This window comes from Homo sapiens, chromosome 2, assembly GCF_000001405.40.
Source record: "Homo sapiens chromosome 2, GRCh38.p14 Primary Assembly".
NCBI classification, from domain to species: Eukaryota; Metazoa; Chordata; class Mammalia; order Primates; family Hominidae; genus Homo; species Homo sapiens.
Genome location: NC_000002.12, coordinates 203,175,097 through 203,197,916, shown reverse-complemented (window position 1 = coordinate 203,197,916; position 22,820 = coordinate 203,175,097). Strand labels below are relative to the sequence as shown.

Here is a 22,820-nt window from a genome sequence, read left to right as displayed (position 1 = left end):
TTTTATTTAGAAGGAGTCTCGCTCTTGTCACCCAGGCTGGAGTGCAGTGGCGCGATCTTGGCTCACTGCAACCTCCACCTCCTGGATTCAAGTGATTCTCCTGCCTCAGCCTCCCAAGTAGCTGGAATTACAGGCACCTGCCTCCACGCCTTTCTAATTTTTTGTATTTTTAGTAGAGACAGGGTTTCACCATGTTGCCCAAGCTGGTCTTGAACTTCTGACCTCAAGTGATCCACCTGCCTTGGCCTCCCAAAGTGCTGGGATTACGGACGTGGGCCACTGTGCCCAGCCTATTTTTATATATCTTTTCAGATTTTATTTTCTGAGCAAATGTTGCCCAGGCTAGTCTTGAACTCCTGGGCTCAAGCAATCTGCTTGTCTCAACCTCCCAAAGCGCTGGGATTACAGGCATGAACCACCATGCACAGCCAAAAAGTGGCTTTTAAAAAATATTTATTTCCTCTTTTTTTCTAAGTTGTAATGAATATAGGCATAGCAGTGTGAAAAAGGTAAAAATCAACTTACCAGTAACTCAGGGCTGCCTTGAGACATAAAAGAACGATACTGATTTTTGGGGATGGTGGCCTTTAATAGTGGAATACCATCACTAATCCCCTATAAAATAAAAGAGGTTTAGTGGCTGGTTCTGCTCATCTTTATTAGGTACAAATTACTGAAAACCGTCTCTTTAAATAAGGATGAATCCTGTGATACATCATTTTACTCTCTTGAAACATCTAATCAATTAATTTAAAATGAAGGAAAGGAATTATATACCATGTATATATGGCATACTTGAAATTTCTGAAACCCATCACCTTCTATTCAACTATTCTGCTTTTAAAAAAGAGATGTAGATTTCAAAGAGCAGCAATAATTTAAAACAGCCAATGATTTAGGATCTATCCTAAGTTATACTGACATACATATAAAGTAGAAAATACGGATCATATAAGAACATGTTTCTCAAATAAGTCAAATGAGAAAATTGGTCATAATTTATAGAAATTTCCTTTTGGGTCTAACTTTTAAAAAACACTTCTAACCCATTAACTAGGGTACTTCCTGAAAGCCACAGTAGGACCAGAAAATAAAGACAGCGTTCAGAAAACATCTGCCATTATCTTATAACAATGTGAAAGAGAACAATAATTTGAATTCAGTTCCCTGATGTGACAGTTGTTCACAAGTGATACCTAATATTTACTAGGTAAATGATAACATTATTGGGTATGTACTATGTATCAGGTGTTGTTCTAAGAACTTAATAGGGACTAAGTAACAAATTATAAAATTCATTATAATTTATAAAATTTTAAAAAGTTGGTGATTATCTTTTCTCTTTACGTTGTGAATTAATCCAGAGAAGAATGACTTGCATTTGAACAAGGCAAAATGAAAATGGTACCTGAAAAAAACCCATTTATTAAGCCCTTGCTTTCACTACTATCTCTACTTTCTTCACAATTTGAACACCTATGAAGAGATGACCTACAAAAGGCCTTCTCTTTTCATATTAATACATGGGGAAATACCTCTTACGAGGATGAAAAGGGATTAACAAGTTATTGGTACCCAAGGAAATCTATTGTGTTCTTTATACTGATCCAGATACTGAATGTGTCCTGGAGAAAGCTACTATGTGACATGGTAGGTACAGAGAAGGGCAGATGTGTTGCTGCACCTGCAGATGGAACTTGGAATGTACTATATTACAAGAAAAGTCACAAATGATTAGATAAGATGAAAATAGTTCTATTGGCATTATAGAAGAAATATAGTATTGCATGTCCATCAGATTATGGGTCAAATAGGGTCTTGTGTTGTTTTACATGCAGTAAAGAGTTAACATAGCAGGCCTGAGACTGCCATCATTGTTACAGAAAGGCCTACTTGCAAGACTGGCCTTTGGTTGGCATCTGGGACTTGGCTGGCGAACAGTTCATCCTTACACTGACATAAAACTTTCCCTCAATGACAAGGGTGGCTCACTACACCTAGAGTGTTTGTGCAAATAGTATGGTTTATGCTAAACACTTGTTTTTCTTCTGGAGTTTGGAATTTTGGTATGTGCTAGTCAGAGGGGTGTGTACGCGACCAGCCTCCAATAAAAACCTTGGGCACTGGGTCTCTAATGAGCTTCTCTGACGACAAAAAAATGTGTTTCCACATTTCATTACTGAAAGAATTAAGTAGATCTTATGTGACTCCACTAGGAGAGGTCTCTTGGACACTTGTGCCTGGCTTCCCCTGGACTGCACACCATGTGCCTTTTCCCTTTGCTGATGTTGCTTTGTATCCTTTCACTGTAATAAATCTTAGCCATGACTACAACTACATGTTAAATTCCGTGAGTCTTTCTGGCAAATCACTGAACCTGGGGGTAGTCTTGGAGACTCCCAACACATCCTGGGAATTAGTCATAATTTCTGAGCATTGTTTTTTTGTGTTCTGAGTTCTATGCAACTAACTTAGATACTTTTGGAAACAACCAAGTTTGTAGAGTTTGTATTGCAACACTAAATAACTATTTCAGTAAACATGGATTTAGGAAAAGAGTGACAGATTAATTTTGAAGTGCTTTCACAAACACGTGAAAGCATGTACCAAAATACAGTGGTGTACCCCATAAAACTGTTTAATTATTACATCAATTAAAAAATACAGTGATGCTTACTACAATATTGTTCATTTGAGTAAAATGTATTATAAAGCTTTAACTGTTTTTTTTTTTTTGAGATGGAGTCTCGCTCTGAGTGCAGTGGCGTGATCTCGGCTCACTGCAAGCTCTGCCTCCTGGATGCCATTCTCCTGCCTCAGCCTTCCGAGTAGCTGGGACTACAGGCGTCCACCACCATGCCCTGCTAATTTTTTATATTTTTTAGTAGAGACGGGGTTTCACCATGTTAGCCAGGATGGTCTCAATCTCCTGACCTCGTGATCTGCCGGTCTCGGCCTCCCAAAGTGCTGGGATTACAGGCGTGAGCCACTGCGCCCGGCCAAAGCTTTAACTGTTATAAAACTCATAAACATTTTTTACACTACATTATCAAAAAATTATATTTTTTGATAATTCATTTTCCCATGGTATTGAATCTGAGAAACACGCTGCAGTGATATTGCAATGCAGGGTTTTACAAACTACAGCCTGTGGGACAAAGCCAGCCCACCACCTGTTTTGTAGGCGGTGGGTGAGCTAAGGATGGGTTTTATATTTTTAGATGATTACATTTTAAGTGGTTATATATGTATCTACAGAATATCTTTGAGTTTGCCTTTTGGCCTGCAAAGCACAAAATATTTACCAGTTAGACCTATCTCACTGCTGCATACTTTTCAAATAAGTTATTATTTGAGACAAGAAAGAGTTTACCAACCTCTGCTGTATTGCAGAGACTGTTCAATGTATATTTTCAAACTAATCTTAGTAACTTTTTATTTTCAATTTTCTTTTTGTGAAGGGTTAATGCTATCTGTCCTAACCACATTCATAGGTATGAATGCATTTTATAATCACATTCTGAATTACTCAATTTAATATGTATATTTAAACATTTGAATTTTTTATTTAAACTCTTTCAATTACACCATTAACTACTCCTGTTTTACTAGACTACTCATTCTATCAATTAACAATGGACTTATTAGGATCTATTTTATATATGAGCAGACATTATAATTAAGAGCTATTAAATTATTATCTCCATCTACATATCATCTCGATTGTCACAAGAAGCATTTTAAGTCAAATTATTTATTCTTCTTCGTCAGGAAAATGTGAAGTAGATGAAAGAAAGCCAAGAAAAACAGTTCAGACTACCACTCAGCAGCAAACAAAAGCTTCCAATAAAAATGTTTTAAAAATCCAACAACAGATTATTACAGTATAATTTACTATCTTGAATTAAATATTATAATCCTTACTTCCCATTAAATAATAAAAGAACTTTAAAATGTACAGAATTTAGAGAAAACTCTTTTTGATATTACCAAGTAGGATATTACCTCTATAAAAAATGACTTGAGTTCAGGAAGGTGTTGAAACAGGTTTAGGGTTGAAGTGTCTATTTTGGTTGGCTTCTGCACTGCTTCTTCTGCTGATAATCTTGGAGGGTGTGGTTCCTTCAAAATAATTTTAAGGAAAAACAATTCCATATCTATGTTATTAATCTCTCACTATGTTCCTTCATATACACTAGGCTCTAGCTACAATGAATTACATACCATGCATTGTTGACAATTATAGGTGTTGGCTCAGACTATTCTCTTAGCAGAGATACTACTTTTTTCATTTCTTTGGAAACCCCACTTCTACTTTAAAGTTTTTCTTACTGATATCTCTCCTAAATTTTCAAGTCAGAATGTATTATTCTCTTTTATTATTTTTCCTTGGCAAATAATTTATATTTTAATTATAATTTATTTCTTTCTATATTGGATTACATATAGTTGTTTATGGTCTGTCTTCCCCAGCTAGGTTATAAGTGCCTTAAAGCTAGAGAAGCCTTATTCATTTTTGGATTTCCATACTAGACTAGTATCTTACACGTTAGATGCTTGGTAAAATTAAATGTAGTATTCAAAATTCAGAATGTATAATTTGGATGAATCTTTAATTCCTTGACAAGATCAAAATGTCAACACTGGCTGGGCGTGCTGGCTCACACCTGAAATCCTAGCACTTCGGGAGGCTGAGGTGGGCGGATCACTTGAGGTCAGAAGTTCAAGACCATACTGGCTAACATGGTGAAACCCTGTATCTACTAAAAATACAAAAATTGGTCAGGCGTAGTGGTGTGCACCTATAGTCCCAGCTACTTGAGAGGCTGAGGTAGGAGAATCGCTTGAACCCACAAGATGGAAGTTGCAGTGAGCCAAGATCGTGCCACTGCACTCCAGCCTGGGTGACAGAGTAAGACTCCATCTCAAAAAAAAAAAAAAAAAAAAAAAAAAGAAAGAAAGAAAAAAAGTCAATACTGTCAGAATCAAATTATAGGTACTGCTGCATACTTTTCAAGTAAATTTTGTTCTTCCTCAACTTTCATGTCAGAAACACAGAACAGTATCATCTATAAATATGAAATAAATGGCAAGTAAAATGAACATTTCAAAGGCACAGTTAAAAGGCAAAACAGAATTCTATCTAAAGTAAATTCTTACATCTCTACAAAAAAATATTGATTATAGGCAATAGATGTGAAAGCTGTAAGTACTAAAATATTTAGCTTTTAGATCGGGTGCGGTGGCTCACACCTGTAATCCCAGCATTTTGGGAGGCTGAGGCAGGCAGATCACCTGAGGTCAGGAGTTCAAGACCAGCCTGCCCAACATGGCAAAACCCCGTCTCTACTAAAAATACAAAAAATTAGCCAGGTGTGGTGGCGGGCCTCTGTAATCCCAGCTACTTGGGAGGCTGAGGCAGGAGAATCGCTTGAACCCAGGAGGCAGAGGTTGGAGTAACCCGAGATTGTGCCATTGTACTCCAGACTGGGCAACAAGGGCAAAACTCCCTCTCAAAAAAAAAAAAAAAATTATCTTTTAATAAATATTATTCACTTTATTTCAAATCAAAGGCTGATTTTTGTATCATTTTCATCACAATAAAAACTAATTAGCACCACTTGTAAAACAAAAAGAAAGGTAAAGCAGGTGTGAAAATATGATAGCATCTATTTCAAAGCCCTGTGAAGCATTCTGTTTTAGTCTGTTACTTTCGCCTTCTGACTGTACCAGAAGGTAAGGGATAAAGCATTGACTTCACATATGACTATTCTGTAAAAACCAATGTTGGAGGTTCCGAGCAAACTGTTGCTAAGGAACAGTAAAAATTACAAAGCTTAGCCCAATTACTGTATTGACAGAAGTACATCTATAAGTTAGAGCTTAGATACACTACTGTTGTAATAGCTGTGGCGATTTCAATTCAATACTGTATTCAAGAGTGATACAAAGATGATTAAGAGAAAGTTGCTGCCTTTAATGTATTTATAATGTACTGAGGTAAATGGATAAATATATAGCCTAAGGCAGAAAGTGTCCTAATTAGGTAGCAAATAAAGGCCCATAAGAACATGTTAAGAGATCTAGTTTAACGGGGGCTTACAACTACTCATTCAGAGGAAACATGGCATGCTAGAAAGGCTTTGGAGTTAGATGGTCAGGCATATAATCCTAGTCACTTTCTTGTTGTGTAAACATAGAAAAAGTATTTAATTTCTCAAAGGCATTATAGGCTAGGTATTACCTTCTGTGAGGCTTGGCTTTAACTCCTAAAAAATGAGGATAGCTGAATTTTTACTATGAAGATTAGGTAAAGTACCTAACAAACACAGTGATTGCTTAAGAACATATCTAGTTAATAAATGATATATTTTTTTGTACATTCTACATCACTAAATTCATATACTGAAAAAGATCAAGACATCTTTGAAAACTACCATTAGATTAATTTCCATTAATCTAAACCTGTGTGTCATCAGGAAGATAATGATTTAATTTCAGATACCAGTATAGGGAAAGAAATATATGTAGTAATATTTAATAATTTGATTCTACATTTTAAATATTCTATAATTTGATTCTTTTTTTTTTTTTTTTCAGTTGTCAAATGATCCTTTATTGAAATATTTTCCTTTGTGCTTAACTGGCTGGGCATTCCACAGCACCACTGTTGATGTCATCGATGATGTCATGAGGATGGCGGCCATCAACATTACAGCCCACAGACTGGGCAGTCCCCAGGATCTCTTTAATGGTTCCAGAGAGTTCTCTGGCTAAGGATCGGTGCCGCATCTGTCGAACAATGTTGACGATCTCATCAAAAGTGATATTCCCACTGTGTTTAATGTTTTTCTGTTTCTTTCTGTCTCTTGGTGGTTCCTTGAGGGCTTTGATGATCAGGGCAGAGGCAGAAGGCACCACCTCAATCTGGGCCTGTCTGTTCTGAATGGTCAGTTTCACTGTAATCCTCAGGCCCTTCCAGTCACCCGTTGCCTTGGCAATGTCATCACCAACCTTTTTTGGAGACAGACCCAGGGGGCCGATCTTGGGGGCCAGGGCAGAAGTGGCACCGACTTCACCTCCGGTGCACCTCAGGTATACGACTTTGATCTCGTTGGGGTCGAACTTCGGCGGCATGGTGGAGGCGGCTGGTGTTGGATGAACCCGGATTCGGGACGACCGAAGAAAGTTGCACCTTGGCCTCCTCCGAGCCGAAAGCCGAGAGCAATTTGATTCTTAAGACTGGGTTTGGGCTCTGGAAAGCAAGTGCCTTTTTGGGCAGATGTTAGCTATTAGAAGTTTTACATGTGGAATGAGTCCCAGCATGAGGACAGTTTTAATGGCATACCCTAATAGGTACTCAGTTTTTCCTCTTGGAAATAATATAAGACTTTCTGAGCAAACAGAAATCTTTCTGTGACTGAGAGTAACTGGCTATATACATGGATCTTGACTGCAATATTTTGTTATGTACTTAAATCTACTTCTTAAGTTGACTTAAATCTACTTCTTAAGTTGTTGACTTACCTTTAATAATTGACAGGGTGTTTGCCCAAAATTATTAATCATCCCTTCTAAGGCTTTTCTTTCTTTCTCATCTGTTAAGGCATCCAGATCCACAGCTCCTAAAACCAGAAGAAGTCAACTTACTATAGAGTGAAAACAAATCAGCAAGCCACATCACTGATTAATGTATCAGGCTCATTGGTGTGTGTGTGTGTGTGTGTGTGTGTGTGTGTGTGTGTGTGTGTGTGTGTACACACATCTTTTTTTTTTTTTTTGAGACAGAGTCTTGCTCTGTTGCCCAGGCTGGAGTGCAGTGGTATGATCTCGACTCACTGCAACCTCCACCTCCTGGGTTCAAACAATTCTCCTCCCTCAGCCTCCTGAGTAGCTGGGACTACAGGTCCGTGCCACCACGCCCAGATAATTTTTGTACTTTTAGTAGAGACGGGGTTTCACTATGTTGGCCAGGCTGGTCTTGAACTTCTGACCTCAGGTGATCTGCCTGCCCCAGCCTCCCAAAGTGCTGGGATTACAGGCGTGAGCCACCACCCTGACCTCATTGGTATAGTTTCAATAAAATATTATTCCATTCTTCAATTTACAACATTGTGAAAAGGTAATTCAAAAAAATCAGCAACGCATCAAACATTAAATATATATAAAAATTAGCTAAAATATTTTAAGCAATTGAAAGTTAAATGATATTCTATGAAGGTTTCTATTGGGCCAGGGGTGGTGGGTCACGCCTGTAATCCCAGCACTTTGGGAGGCTGAGGCGGGAGGACTGCTTGAGACCTGGAGTTTGAAACCAGCCTGGACAACAAAGTGAGACTTCATCTCTCTAAAAAATTTTAAAAATTAGCTGGGTGTGGTGGTATGCCTGCAGTTCCCAGCTACTCAGGAGGCTGAGGCAGCAGGGGCTGGTTGACCCCAGGAGTTCCAGGTTGCACTCAACTATGATTATGCCACTGCACTCTAGCCTGGGTGACAGAGCAAGACCCAGTCACAAGATAAAAAAATAAATAAATAAAAATTTCTTTTGCAAAAATACAAATTATACTCAGAGTACACCTAATTGTTTTGGTTATGATAGCCAAACTCAAATAAGAGTAATAACTACACAAAAATACTGCTTTAAGTTATTGCTTGAAACAAAGGTTTCAAAAGGTAATATTCTGGTTAACTGATTATACTCAGCCACACCTAATATGGATTGTTACACGACTAGTAATTGGCTAAACTAGGTAAGTCCAAGCTTCTAACAGCCATGCAATACTTTCTCCTTACAAACCTATTACCTGAATGGATCCGGTATAGCAAAAATATGCTCATTTACTAAAAGTCTCTCATAACTTCACACTATTCACAATCTTTAGAACTATTAGTCTTCTTAAGGATTAGTAAAGAACTACTTTTTAAAAATCATTTTAAGGCCATCAGAAGATATTCTTGATTCTGAGCTAAATAATGCCATCATATGTATCATTTGAAGAATCTGTTATTTGTAACTTCAAAGGCCTTGTTTCAAAATCTGCTACTGTTTAATACTGAATATTTAATGTTTGACTCAACTGGATAGGACAAATATGTTAGAGATCAAAAACTTTTATGATGTTAATAAGTGACATTTATAATTAGATTGGCATATATACACTTAACTACTATTACAAAAAAAGCAGCAGTCTCTTAATCTTTCAAGTAAAAAGATGTTTTTAAAATGTAGTCTTTCTGATATTAAATAGGCTTCAAATAACTGTAAACATATATTAAACAACAGTTTCTATCAAGGTAAAGCAAGAGAAAAAGTGTATAGATTTATACCTTCATAACTACAATAATAGAAAACGTTGAGTGCCTCTACTGCAGCTGGTCCCCTCTGTTTATAGCCAAAGATCAGATCTATCCATTCATGAAGATGAGCTGAAACATATTCAGACTCCTAGAAAAAGAATAAATTTAATAATTAATATAGAGATATCTTCCAACTACATTGTAAATTCAGTTCTTTAAAAAAGTAAGGACAAATGAAACATTTCCACACACAAATCTTTCTGGCAGCAAAATAAAATTATCTCAAAATAATGGCAAGCATTTATTCAATATATACTACATATATTAACTATTCCTGTCTACTATAATGTAGATATATTTATTAATATTAACATATGCATTTCCTAATAGGTGAATAAAACACAAATATGCTTATAACAGCCCAAAAACAACAGCAAAAGAGCTAAAAGATAGATATGGAATGCATCTCTGTGGCAAAATTTCCATTGAAATAGTTGTCTAGAAATTCAATTCAAGAAAAAAAAATATCAATTTAAGGAAACAATGAAACCACACTTAGGTGGAAAAAATGGCTGCAAATCATTCTCTCCCTCACAATAACCACTTACTAAGAGGAGGCCAGGGTGGCAGGTAGAGACCTCCTGTAAATTACTAGTGATAATTTGAAAGACAGTGAGGAAATTGTTATTAGAGACAGGAAAAAATGGGACTCATGTTTCAGTTACAGGAAAGAAAGAATGAACTCATGAATTTGGGTGTACAGACTTCCAAACAGTACATTTTAAAGTGCCATTTGGCTTCTTTCAGATGCCTATGATAAAGTGTGAGAGCAGTAAGATCGGTTAAAAAGTGAACTATTTGATTTTTTTTTTTTTGGGACGAAGTCTCTCGCTCTGTCGCTGAGGTTGGAGTGCAGTGGCACGATCTTGGCTCACTGTAACCTCCACCTCCCATGGGTTCAAGAGATTCTCCTGCCTCAGCCTCCCAAGTAGCTGGGATTACAGGCGCCTGCCACCACGCCCAGCTAATTTTTTGTATTTTTAGTAGCGATGGGGTTTTACCATGTTGGCCAGGCTGGTCTTGAACTCCTGACCTCAGGTGATCCACCCGCCTTGGCCTCCCAAAGTGCTGGGATTACAGGTGTGGGCCACTGCACCCAGCCAAAAGTGAACTATTTGATTTGTAAGCACAATTTAAAGAAAATATAAAAAAGCCAGATATTGCTGGATTCAAAAAAAAAAAAAAAAAAAAACCATTGCAAGAGCCAGGCATGGTGGCTCATGTCTGTTACCCCAGCACTTTGGGAGGCCAAAGCAGGTGGATCGCTTGAGCCCAGGAATTCAAGACCAGCCTGGGCAACATGGCGAAACCCACTCTCTACAAAAAATTAGCTGGGAATGGTGGTATTGCACCTACAGTCCCAGCTACTCAGGAGGCTGAGGTGGGAGGATCACCTGAGCCCAGGAGGACACGGCTGCAGTGAGTTGTGATAATGTCACTGCACTCCAGCCGGGGGACATTTCTCAGTCCCGGGATCTCTAGAGGGCAAAGACTCTCAAAATGAGAAATTGCCTAAGGCAACTATCAAATCAGAATGTCACCAATAAAATATGGTCTTGGATAAAAGTTTAGTTCAAGGGTTTGGCTGTAAAATAATCTGTTGAGACCTCAGAAAGATTTAAGGTTGTGTCCCACAGACCCACTCAACTAGAAAATAGAGTGTCTAGGAATCTTAAGAGCATTTTTCCATAGTAGCCACCCATCCAGCCCAAAGTAGAGAAGGGACTGTTTGGTAATGTTGAATGGCTTTTGTCCAATAGAGCTGACACATAAGAAACCTATAAAGTTTTAAATGGAATTAGACTAGTTTAGAGTAAAAGAGAGAAACTGTTTAAAAAAGAAGAGAGACCTTTGGCCTTCAATTCACTGTGGTTAGGAAAGAGGCTGACAAAGATACTCCTGTAAACAAAGTTTTATTATTTATTTATTTATTTATTTATTTTTATGGAATAAAAAGAATGACTTAGTGGGGAGCCAAAAGCTCAAAGGTAGAACCAAGAGCCACTGAGAACCCCTCTCGGGAGACAGGACTGGACCCTAACAGAAGATCTGAGAGCATGTCCTTACTGGAATTCTGAATTGCTATAAAACAGTATTTGTATTTGTGACTGCTAGGAGCCTCCTGCTTTTCTCCTCCTTTTGAATGGGAGTGTCTGTTTATAAGTTCTCTTATCCTTTCATACCACTGTTGTCATGTGGGGGCAAATAACTTCTCTCTTTAGTTCAGGCTTCAGATCCAAGAGGAGCCACATCTGAGTAGTTTCATCCACACACAGACTTGACTTAGATAATGAGATACTGAATTTTAGGCCTCAAGCCTTAATGCAGAATAGCAAACTACTGTCTGTGGGTCAAATCTGAGTTGCTGCCAGATTTGTAGAGTAGTAGTAGAACACAGCCACATCCATTTGTTTTTGCAGTACAATGGCAGAACTGAGTACCTGTGACATAGATCTTATGACCAACGAAGATTTACTATCTGTCCCTTTACAGAAACAATTTGCCAATTCCTTCCCTAATGAGATAAGAGTTGTGGGGGAAGGGTGTCTTGAGAGGAAGTGAATATATTTTGCATGTAGGAGGAAAATAATTTGTGACCAGAGGGCAGAATACATGTTGATTTAAGATAGCTACAAATTCTTTCTCACTGTTAGCACTGAAAGATGGAGCTCAGTTTCCCTCCTCTTCAATCTGGCATTGATACTGTTACTGCTTAAACATTACAAAGTGGCAGAAGTTATGCTATGAAGAAAGAGTGGAAGCTTCTACTTTTGGGGAGCACTTAGCTGCCAGGTGAGGAGTCTGACTACCCAGTTGGAGAGGAGATATCCTGACATTACATGGAGAGGGAGAAAAGCTAGCATCCTACCGTTTCGATGCAGCTTTCAGATGACTCCAATCCCAGCTGCCATATGACTGCTACTAACTGCATGAGAACCTCAAGCAAGACCAGCAGAATTCCTCAGTTGAGGCCAGCCAACCCACTGAACTGTGGGAGATGATGATTAAATGGCTATACTTTCTTTTTATTGTTATACTTTTAAGTTCTGGGATACACGTGCAGAACATGCAGGTTTGTTATGTAGGTATACACATGCCATGGTGGTTTGCTGCACCCATCAATCCGTCATCTACATTAGGTATTTCTCCTAATGCTATCTCTCCCTTAAAATGGCTATACTTTTAAGCCACTGAATTTTGGAACAGTTTGTTACTCAGTAATACATAATTGAAATATATAATTCTAATATCTTATTAATAGGGTTGTGAAAGCTGTATGGATAAAAATGGAATGCCAAAACCTAACAAAATTCAGTGGAGAGTCCATCAAGGAGGAGCTCTTATGCATACATGCCTACATGCCTACAATAAAGACTATGACAAAGACACTCTGAAAACCACAACCATACACCAAGAATACTTCTGCGAGGATGTCTGCCCAGCAACTGCCTGTTCAACCTTGGACTAATGCCATCCTTGTTATTAATCCGTGTGGTCAAGGATAATTGTTTCAAAACAACTCATGTAAACTTCCTCACTTTACCTTTAAAAATCCTTGCCTTCCTGGGTACATCTCTGGTCCCTAATGGTTCACCAGGGCACAGGTATTATCAGACTGCAATTCATCATTCATTCCCAAATAAACTTTTTTTTTTTTTTTTTAAATACAGGGTCTTGCTATATTGCCCAGGCTGGTCTCAAACTCCTGGGCTCAAGTGATCCTCTCACTTCAGCCTCCCAAGTAGCTGGGACTACCGGTACACACCACCCACACTTGGCTATACTCATTTTTGCTTTTCTAAATTTTTTCTAAATTCCTTATTCATGCATAGGGTTAAGGCTTACAAATATTATAATCAAATTCTGAATTTTATAAATATATACTTATTTTATAAATATATAATGATAGAAAATGTTTCCAAGTACTGGCTTAATTATTTTCAGAGTCCTCCAACATTTCAGTTTAGGTAAAGAATAAAGTGAGCTACTGTGGGGAAAAGTGGAGCCATCAATATCATCTGCAAGATAGCAACACAATAACCAACGTTAAACTAACCCTCACTAGTCCTTCAATTCCAAATTAGGAAATTTAACTAAAAACTAATACTTTATTTATTTATTTATTTTTGAGATGGCTTCTCGCTCTGTCTCCCAGGCTGGAGTGCAGTGGTGCGATCTCAGCTCATTGTCACCTCCGCCTCCTGGGTTCAAGAGATTATCTTACCTCAGCCTCCTGAGTAGCTGGGATTACAGGCACCCGCCAACACACCCACCTAATTTTTGTATTTTTAGTACAGATGGGGTTTTGCCATGTTGGCCAGGCTGGTTGCAAATTCCTGACCTCAGGTGATCTGCCCGCCTTGGCCTCCCACAGTGCTGGGATTAGAGGCGTGAGCCACTGTGCCCACCTTTTTTTTCAAGTGGCATTTAGGGTTTAGCTGCCTTTTTTTGTTTGTTTCTTTTTTTTTTTTTTTTTTTTTTTTTAGACAGTCTCGCTCTGTCGCCTGGGCTGGAATGCAACGGCGTGATCTCAGCTCACTGCAACCTCAGCCTCCTGGGTTCAAGCGATTCTCCTGCCTCAGCCTCCTGAGTAGCTGAGATTATAGGCATGCGCCACCACGCCTGGCTAATTTTTTTATTTTTAGTAGACATGAGGTTTCACCATGTTGGCCAGGTTGATCTCCGAACTCCTGACCTCAGGTGAGGCCTTGGCCTCCTTGGCCTCCAAAAGTGCTAGGATTACAGGTGTGAGCCACTGTGCTTGGCTTAGCTGCCTTTCTTTTAGAAGCTTAGTGAAATCTTTCAGAGAAAACAAAAATGTACTCATCCTTATTAGATTTGAAATAAATGTGAAAACTGTAAAACACCAAACTACACCAGCTTGGTGACTGGAATATTTACATACACAGCAGATGGACATTTTACAGAGCTGAAATGTTTAATATTTTGCTATATATATATATATTTATTCATGGTACTATACTATAGTCTCATTATATCAGAAGATTCATATCCTCAAAATAAATTGCTATATTGTACTTTCTAAAGTCAGCATATATAATAGATTACAAATTAATCTAGAAAAATAACTAAGTCAGATTATCCCATCCTCTGGAAAACACATCTTTTATCTTATTATTCTGTCAAATAACTAAATGCAAAACTCTTACCAAAGCTTTCCTATGTTTATAGATGAAATCTTCAGCTGATTTAGCCCATTTCGGGAGAATGACATCATTTACTAATTCTTTGGAAATCTGTAGACGACCCAAGTTAAATTCTAAGACATGTAAAAAGAAAATGTATCAAATCATTTTAGATTATAATAAACGAAGTAAAACAAACACTAATGAGGGCACATTCCTAAGCAAAACATATTTTTTCTTTTAAAATTCTTATCTATTGGAGTACATACCAGTTAATTTAAAAACAAAAATAACGAGTTTTAAATTAGCTATTATAAGGTAAATTAGAGTAAGAATTAAGTTGTTAAGCAAAAAAAGTGGGGGAAACTATAGCTACAACCCTTATTTCAATCAGACCAAAATGCAAAATTAAGTTTTCTTCTTACACTTAAAATAATGAGAGGGACACAGTCCCTCTAATAGTAAAATACAGCTCCTTAAAGCTTTTTGGTGTAACTCATACCTTAAGCTCACCTACTGGAAGAGTTATATTTGTCTGATGGAAGAATAATATTTACATACCACTATTCTAAATAGATACTTGCATAATAAAGATTTGCTCATAGGTTAGAACATGGCATTTTGATAAAATTTCCCCAAATATGAGGGTTTTTTTGTTTACACAACATGGCAGGGGAGAAGGGGGACTGTTAACACAAAAGAACTTCAAAAAAGAAGGCCTTAAAATACCAGTATGCTGCCTTAAAATACCAGTGTATCACAAGTTGGAGAGGAGTTTAAATGTCATAAAATGACAGAATGCACAGGGTCTTTGGTTTTATGTTAAACCCATCACAGTGTAGCAGATGTTATTCGTTGCCCACCTGATAGTCATTCCCTCTTTTTATTTGCTAGCAGAACCTTTATTTCATTCAAGTGTCCATCTCTGCCCTATATTTCATGCCCATTCCAGGTGACTGGTCTAGGGGTTGGTATATGACCCAGTTCTGGAGAGTGAGGAGAACTTATGAGAAAGAGTTTCTCACTCTTAAGAAAGGACACAATGGATTAACAGCCTCACTTATTTCTGCGATACTGTTGGATCTGCCTATGATGCCTAAAACTGCGTTAGGCATTTGTGACCATGAGAGGAACTAGCCAAAGCCAAAATACTCAGAATGGCAGAGTGAAAATACAGAAAAAAAGTTGGCGCTGATGATGCTAAACTATCTGAAACTACCATACCTCAGGATTTTTATTATGGGAAACACTAAAATTTCCTTGTTTGCACAATTTTGAGTTGGTTTTATTAAATTTTTTCCTAAAGGCATTCTGTTTTTCTTTGCTTTTTAAGTTTTTTATTCTTAAAGGCATTCTAATTGATATATTTGCTTTCTCCCAAATGGCTCATTTCAAAGAGGCAATGTATAGCTAGAAGTGGAGGCCATCAGGACAATGGTGCTAAAGATAGCAACTAACTCTGATATAAATTGTTAAAGAGTACCTTATAAATTCTTTATCCAAATGTAGTCTGCTCATCCCTCCTATTCTAGATACTCTGCTTTAGAAGAATCCAGTCCAATAGCTGACTGAGAGTTTAGGATCAGACTCAGACAACAGATTTACCTCATTTTCTGAAAGTCACCAATTCTGACTGCCTTACTGTGATGCCCTGCCTCCAACAGCTTGTTCCAGAGTTCATGGTCAAAGTGACATTAAGCCCTGGATATATTCTCCACAGTATGACAAATAATTGTACTGAATAAATGAAGGGTCAAACACTAACATTACATGTTAGGGCAGGGAAAAAAGTTGGTAATAACCCTTTAATACTGTGGAACCTCCCTAAAGAACACCAATAATAAAAATATTGCTAATTTCCTTATTTGTACTTAAAAGTAAATGTAAAACTACCTCACAGAAAAAGGATTTGGACATTTAAAAAGGTATTAATATTTAACTCCATACTTCTCTACTTCAAAAACATAACATAAATTTTCAAATATTACAGTAACTTATATCCTGTCATTTTAATTTGCCTACTCTTGCATGCTCTAAATCAGGAGTTACCAAATTTTTCCTATAAAAAGTCAAAGAATAAATATTTTTGGCTTTGTGAGTGTTATCATATCTGTTGCAACTACTCAAATCTGCCACTATGCTTACTTTGAAAGAAACCTTCTATGACACAAAAATGAAGCTGGCCGGGCATGGTGACTCCCACCTGTAATCCGAGCACTTTGGGAGGCCAAGGTGGAAGGATCACTTGAGTCCAGGAGTTCGAGACCAGCCTGGACAACAAAGTGAGACCCCATCTCTACAAAAAAAAAAATTGCAGGCATGGTGGTGCAGACCTGTAGTCCTAGCTACTCAGGAGGCTGAGCTGAGAGGATTACTTGAGCCCAGGAGGTCAAGGCTGCAGTGAGTAGTGATCACAGCACTGCATTCCAGCCTAAGGGAAAAGCGAGACCCTGTCTCAAAAAAAAAAAAAAAAAAAAAATTGACTGGCTGTATTCAGTGAAACTGTATATATAAAGACATGAGTTTGCCCATGGAGTTGGTTAACAGACCTGTAGTCAGCTGATGGTTAGTCTAAATCCTCACCTTATCTAACTCAAACACTTTTAACCTAAGTGGTATATATAGCTGAAATAGCATATGGTCATTTTTGCTTCCCTAGTAAACACTGTAGTCTGATAAATTCTCTTACTGATTCAAATTTGACTCCTTTGGCTTAGTTCCCTATAGCACTTCCCTGGAAGGTAAGACTCATAGCATTAGTTCAGCCCTGTCACTAAGTAATCCACAGACAGAATGAATCTTAAATAATCTACAGGATATTACAAAAATGTCCTGAAAGACATTTTTGAGGCTCCTCCATTGGGACCTGCTAGTCAAATTTTTAATCCTCTATTTCTTACGATTTTGATTTTCCAAAAACTCTGGGAAATAGAAGAATTCAGGAATAAGTTCTTTAACATCATATGGATTATCCATAAGAGCTTGCCAGGTAGCAGGAATAGAATGGAACTGTCGATCTGCACAGTCAAACCTGCATGTAGAAATTAAAAGAGAAGTAAATATTGAATGAAATCAACAACAAGACATGAAACAAAACTTTTAAACTCCCTTCAGGGTTCCTAATGATTAGAGGTACTGTTTTCTGAATCTCCTCTTTAATGCCTACATGTACAATTTACTCTCCTTATTATGATAATCTCTATCTTTCATATTGTGTTGTCAGGAACTAAATACTCTAATTTTAATCACCAGTAGCACCTTAGTTGAATTAGTTGAAAACCAAATCACACTGGAGAAAAATTTCAAATAAATTAAATATAATCTTAAGAGTCTTTTTAGGGCTGGGTACAGTGGCTCACGCCTATAATTCCAGCACTTTGGGAGGCTGAGGTGGGTGGATTACCTCAGGTCAGGAGTTCAAGACCAGCCTGGCCAACATGGTGAAACCTCGTTGCTACTAAAAATACAAAAATTAGCCAGGCGTGGTGGCACACACCTGTAATCCCAGCTACTTGGGAGGCTGAGCCAGGAGAACTGCTTGAGCCCGGGAGGCAGAGATTCCTGGGAGATTGTGCCACTGCACTCCAGCCTGGCCGACAGAGCAAGACTCTGTCTCAAAAAAAAAAGGCATTTTTGCTGAATAAAATTTATTATAGAAAGTGAATGTTATTTCAATATTTGAAAATCAGAGTATAAATATGATTATAAACATTATAGTATCAATATACTTGGTTAATAGATCTATAGGAACGCTGCTGATTTAATCACTGATATATAAATATTTTTACAAACTCTTCCTCTTAAAACCAGAGAGTGAGTTAGGGAAATAACTCTGTGGCTAAAGCTTTTATGTTTTACTTGCATAATCTATTGTCTTATTTTAATATTATTTAATTTTCAATTAATTAATTTTATGTATTTACTTATTTTAGAGATGAGGGTCTCACTATGTTGCCCAGACTGGAGTGCAGTGGCTATTCACAGGCACCATCATAATGTGCTACAGTGTCAAACTCCTGGCCTCAAGAGATTCTCCCACCTCAGCCTTCCAAGTAGCTGGGACTAAGAGGCCCAGGCCACTGCTCCCGGCTTAATTTTATTTATTTAAATTTAATCATGGGCACTGCGTCTATAGTAGCTGAATGAAGCTCAAATGGATATGCTGCAATTGTATTATGCTTTCCCTAATAAAACAACAGTATAAATCCCTTCTGTTTTATTTCATTTGATATTGTTTTCCTGGATTTATTAAGTATTTAATGGCCTTGAGTCTAAGGTAAGGCTATGCTACAAAGAAAAAAAGTGACATTAATGACCAATTTGTCTCTTGTGTTTTACACCTATTTAATCTTGGTTTGAAGCAGAGCTGATCTTAACAGAATTTTGAATTTAATTATAATTTAATTATAGACATCTGACCATCTAAAACATTTCAGTATATAGTATATTCAAGAAGAGGCATAGTTTTGAGATAAAATTAACATATAAATTGCTCGTTTTAAGTGGATGATTCAAAGGTTTAATTCAGTATATTCATAATTGTGCAACTATCATCACAGTGAATTTTACAACATTCTCATTACTCCAGGAAGAAATGTTGTACCTGTTAGCAGTCACTGCCCATTCACCCTACTCCCACCCCTGGAGACTGCTAATGTACCTTATATCTCTATGCCTATTTTTATTTCATTTTGCCTATTCTGACTATCTGTGTATTTTGGACATTTCATGTAAGTCATGTAATATGTGCCCTTTTGTATCTGGCTTATTTCATTTGGCATAATGTTTTCAAGGTTCATTCATATTATAGCATGTATCAATACTTCATTCCTTGAATTCATTCATGGCCAAATAATATTCCATTGTATGGATATATCACATTATTCATTTATCAGTAGATGGACACTTGTTTGTTTCTACTTTTTGGTTATAAATTATACGGGTATGGCCAGGTGAGGTGGCTCACGCCTGTAATCCCAGCACTTTGGTAGGCCATGGTGGGCAGATCACTTGAGATCAGGAGTTCACGACCAGCCTGGGTAATATGGCAAAACCCCGTCTCTACCAAATATACAAAAAAGTTACTTGAGTGTGGTGGTGCACACCTAGAATCCCAGCTACTTTGGAGGCTGAGGCAGGAGAATCGCTTGAGCCTAGGAGATGGAGGTTGCAGTGAGCGGAAACTGAGCCACTGTACTCCAGCCTGGGCGACAGAGTGAGACTCTGTCTCAGAAAAAAAAAAAAAGAAAAAAGAAAAAAAAAAGGCTGGTATGAACATTTATGTGCAAATTTTTGTGTGCATATATGTCTTCAATTATCTTAGGTATGTATCTAGAAGTGGAATTTCTAGGTTATACAGCAATTCTATATTTAACTTTTTTATTTTTTTTTTTTGAGATGGAGTATTGCTCTGTCGCCCAGGCTGGAGTGCAGTGACATGATCTTGGCTCACTGCAATGTCCGCCTCCCGGGTTCAGGCAATTCTCCTGCCTCAGCCTCCAGAGTAGCTAGGATTACAGGCACCCACGACCACGCCCAGATAATTTTTGTATTTTTAGTAGAGACAGGGTTTTACCATGTTTGCCAGACTGGTCTCGAACGCCTGACCTCAAGTGATTTGCCTACCTCAGCCTCCCAATGTGCTGGGATTATAGGTGTGAGCCACCACACCCAGCCCCTCTATATTTAACTTTTTGAGGAACTGCCAGACTATTTTCCACAAAAGCTATACCATTTTACATTCCCACTGGCAGTATTTATAAGGCTTCCAATTTCTCCACATGCTCTTCAGCACTAGTTATTATTTGTCTTTTTTATTATAGCTATCATAGTGGGTGTGAAGTGGCATCTCACTGTGGTTTTGATTTGAATTTCCCTGATGACTCATGCTGTTGAGCATCTTTTCATGTGTTTACTGAACATTTGCATATCTCCTTTGAAGAAATGTTTATTTAGATCTGTTGTCTATGTTTTAATTGGGTTGTCTTTTTATTATTAAGATATAAGAACTCTTCCCCCTTCCTCTTTTTTTTTTTTTTTAATAGAGATGGGCGTCTCACTATGTTGCCCAGGCTGAACTTGAACTCCTGGGCTCAAGCAATCCTTGTGCCTCAGCCTCCTGAGTAGCTGAAGTTATAGGTGTGTGCCACCTTACCTTGAGTGTAAGGGTTTTTTATATATTCTAGGTACAAATATATAAAAGTCCCTTATCAGGTATAGTTTTCATTTCATTTCTTTTCTTTTCCTTTTTTTTTTTTTTTTTGAGATAGAGCTTTGCTGTGTCACCCAGTCTGGAGTACAGTGGTGCAATCATGGTTCACTATAGCCTCGACCTCCTGGGTTCAATCTATCCTCCCACCTCAGCCTCCCAAGTAGCTGGGACTACAGGTGCACACCACCACACCCGACTAACTTTCTATTTTTTGTAGAGATGGGGTTTTGCCTTGTTGCCTAGGCTGATCTCAAACTCATGGGCTCAAGTGATCCACCTGACCTGGCCTCCCAAAGTGTTGGGGATTAAAGGCATAAGCCAACATGTTTGGCCAGTTTTTACTTTCTTGATGGTGACCTTTGAAGTATTATACAATCTATTTTTGAAGCTTTGTAAAAAAAATCATTTAGTCATAAAATTATTAAAAGCTGAAAAGACCTAGTTATACTTTATTGCATTTTTTTTTTTTTTTGAGACAGTTTCACTCCTTCACCCAGCCTGGAGTGCAGTGGCACAATCTCAGCTCACTGCAACCTCCGCCTCCCATGTTCAAGCGACTCTCATGCCTCAGTCTCCTGAGTAGCTAGGACTTCAGGCATGTACTACCATGCCTGGCTAATTTTTTTGTATTTTTAGTAGAGACGGGGTTTCACCATTTTGGCCAGGCCAGGCTGGTCTTGAAATTCTGACCTCAGGTGATCCACCCACCTTGGCCTCCCAAAGTGCTGGGATTAGAGGTGTGAACTGCCACACCTGGCCTACTTTACTGTATCTTATGGAGAGAAAAGTATCTTCTATCAGATACTTACTTTGGCAGGCCAAGGTGGGCTGATCACTTAACATCAGGAGTTCAAGACCAGCCTGGGCAATATGGCAAAACCCCATCTCTACCAAAAATACAAAAAAATTACCCAGGTGTGGTGGCACACCATACCACACCACACGCATCTCAGTGAGCTGAGATTGCACCACTGCACTCCAGCCTGGGTGAAGGAGTGAGACTCTGTCTCAAAAAAAAAAAAAAAAAAAAGATGCAATAAAGTATAACTGGATCTTTTCAGCTTTTAATAATTTTATGACTAAATGAATTTTTACAAAGCTTCAAAAATAGACTATATAATACTTCAAAGGTCACCATCAAAGGTTACATGGGACATGTAAAATCTGGGGATGTTTAGTGATCTGAGGGCCAGAGTCTCTTCTTGAAAGCCAAGGCTTATTGTACATAAACAGAAATAAGGAACCCAGGTTAACTGTGAGAGATAAAAGCTACATGGAAAGAGAACAGAAAAGGCAATATTTACATAGCTCTGGTTTGGGTAGGGAAGGCAAAATGGCTGTTAAACAGTAAGGCAACATGGAGACAAAAATGTATAAATAGGGAGCTATGTGGAGGATTTACTGAGGAACAGAAGATTCATGGAAAAGCTGGTTTCCTTAGGATTAGGAAAATGTACAACATAGGTAAGTTATAATACCCACAGTGTAAATACAGTGGTATCAAAGACTTGTTTGAGCTGCTGTAATAATGTAAGAGTCTCTTATTGCTCCTCCTTCCATTCCTCATGATACATATTTTTAGGACTACATAGGCATAGGCATTGGATTGGTTTGACTCTCCGGTGATGCCTTAGATTTAGCTCTAAATCAGATCTAATTATAAATCTCTGGTAGATTCCTCAAAACAGTAAGAATCACAAAGGTACACTGGGATAACACTGAAAAAGGAATTCTCCTTAAATCACTTGTGTGAGACAGTTTGAGTGACTCATTCTCAAACTAGTTTATTTTTAGCTGATCAAAATTTAATACAGGAGAATAAAAAAGACATGTTACACAGTACATGACATGAAGGCAAACAGTTTTCAACACTAACATAGTCATAAAAAAATAGCTTATTTACTCAAAACATACCTTCCACTCTGAAGTTGGATGTGGAGGGTGGTGAACGGTTCTACACGAATGAGATAGTGCATGACCCCCGCAGAATTTGAATAGTGAGTACCATAGTGAAACTTATCAATAGTTCCCATAGGATCCTCAAAATTTTCATATCTGTGGGGAAAAAATCCTAAAGTTTTAAAACCACAATAATAAAGTACATA

At 37.9% G+C, this 22,820-nt stretch overlaps 1 protein-coding gene and 1 pseudogene across 12 annotated transcripts in view; both read right to left on the bottom strand.

Annotated features, from left to right (window-relative positions):
- The window catches only part of NBEAL1 (neurobeachin like 1), a 210,587-nt gene that overhangs the window by 27,278 nt on the left and 160,489 nt on the right, over positions 1-22,820 (bottom strand). For 11 of the 12 annotated variants that reach the window (XM_011511658.4, XM_047445554.1, NM_001378026.1 and 8 more), the window contains 7 exons: positions 22,630-22,770; positions 17,405-17,535; positions 14,529-14,638; positions 9,328-9,445; positions 7,528-7,625; positions 4,006-4,122; positions 526-615 (listed from right to left, as the gene is read on the bottom strand). In XM_011511658.4, coding sequence (XP_011509960.1) covers positions 526-615; positions 4,006-4,122; positions 7,528-7,625; positions 9,328-9,445; positions 14,529-14,638; positions 17,405-17,535; positions 22,630-22,770 — 805 coding nt within the window. Of the gene's footprint in view, positions 1-525; positions 616-4,005; positions 4,123-6,855; positions 7,271-7,527; positions 7,626-9,327; positions 9,446-14,528; positions 14,639-17,404; positions 17,536-22,629; positions 22,771-22,820 lie in introns of those variants that run through there. The other variant, XM_011511663.4, reaches the window with a different exon arrangement.
- On the bottom strand, positions 6,598-7,225 carry RPL12P16 (ribosomal protein L12 pseudogene 16; annotated as a pseudogene).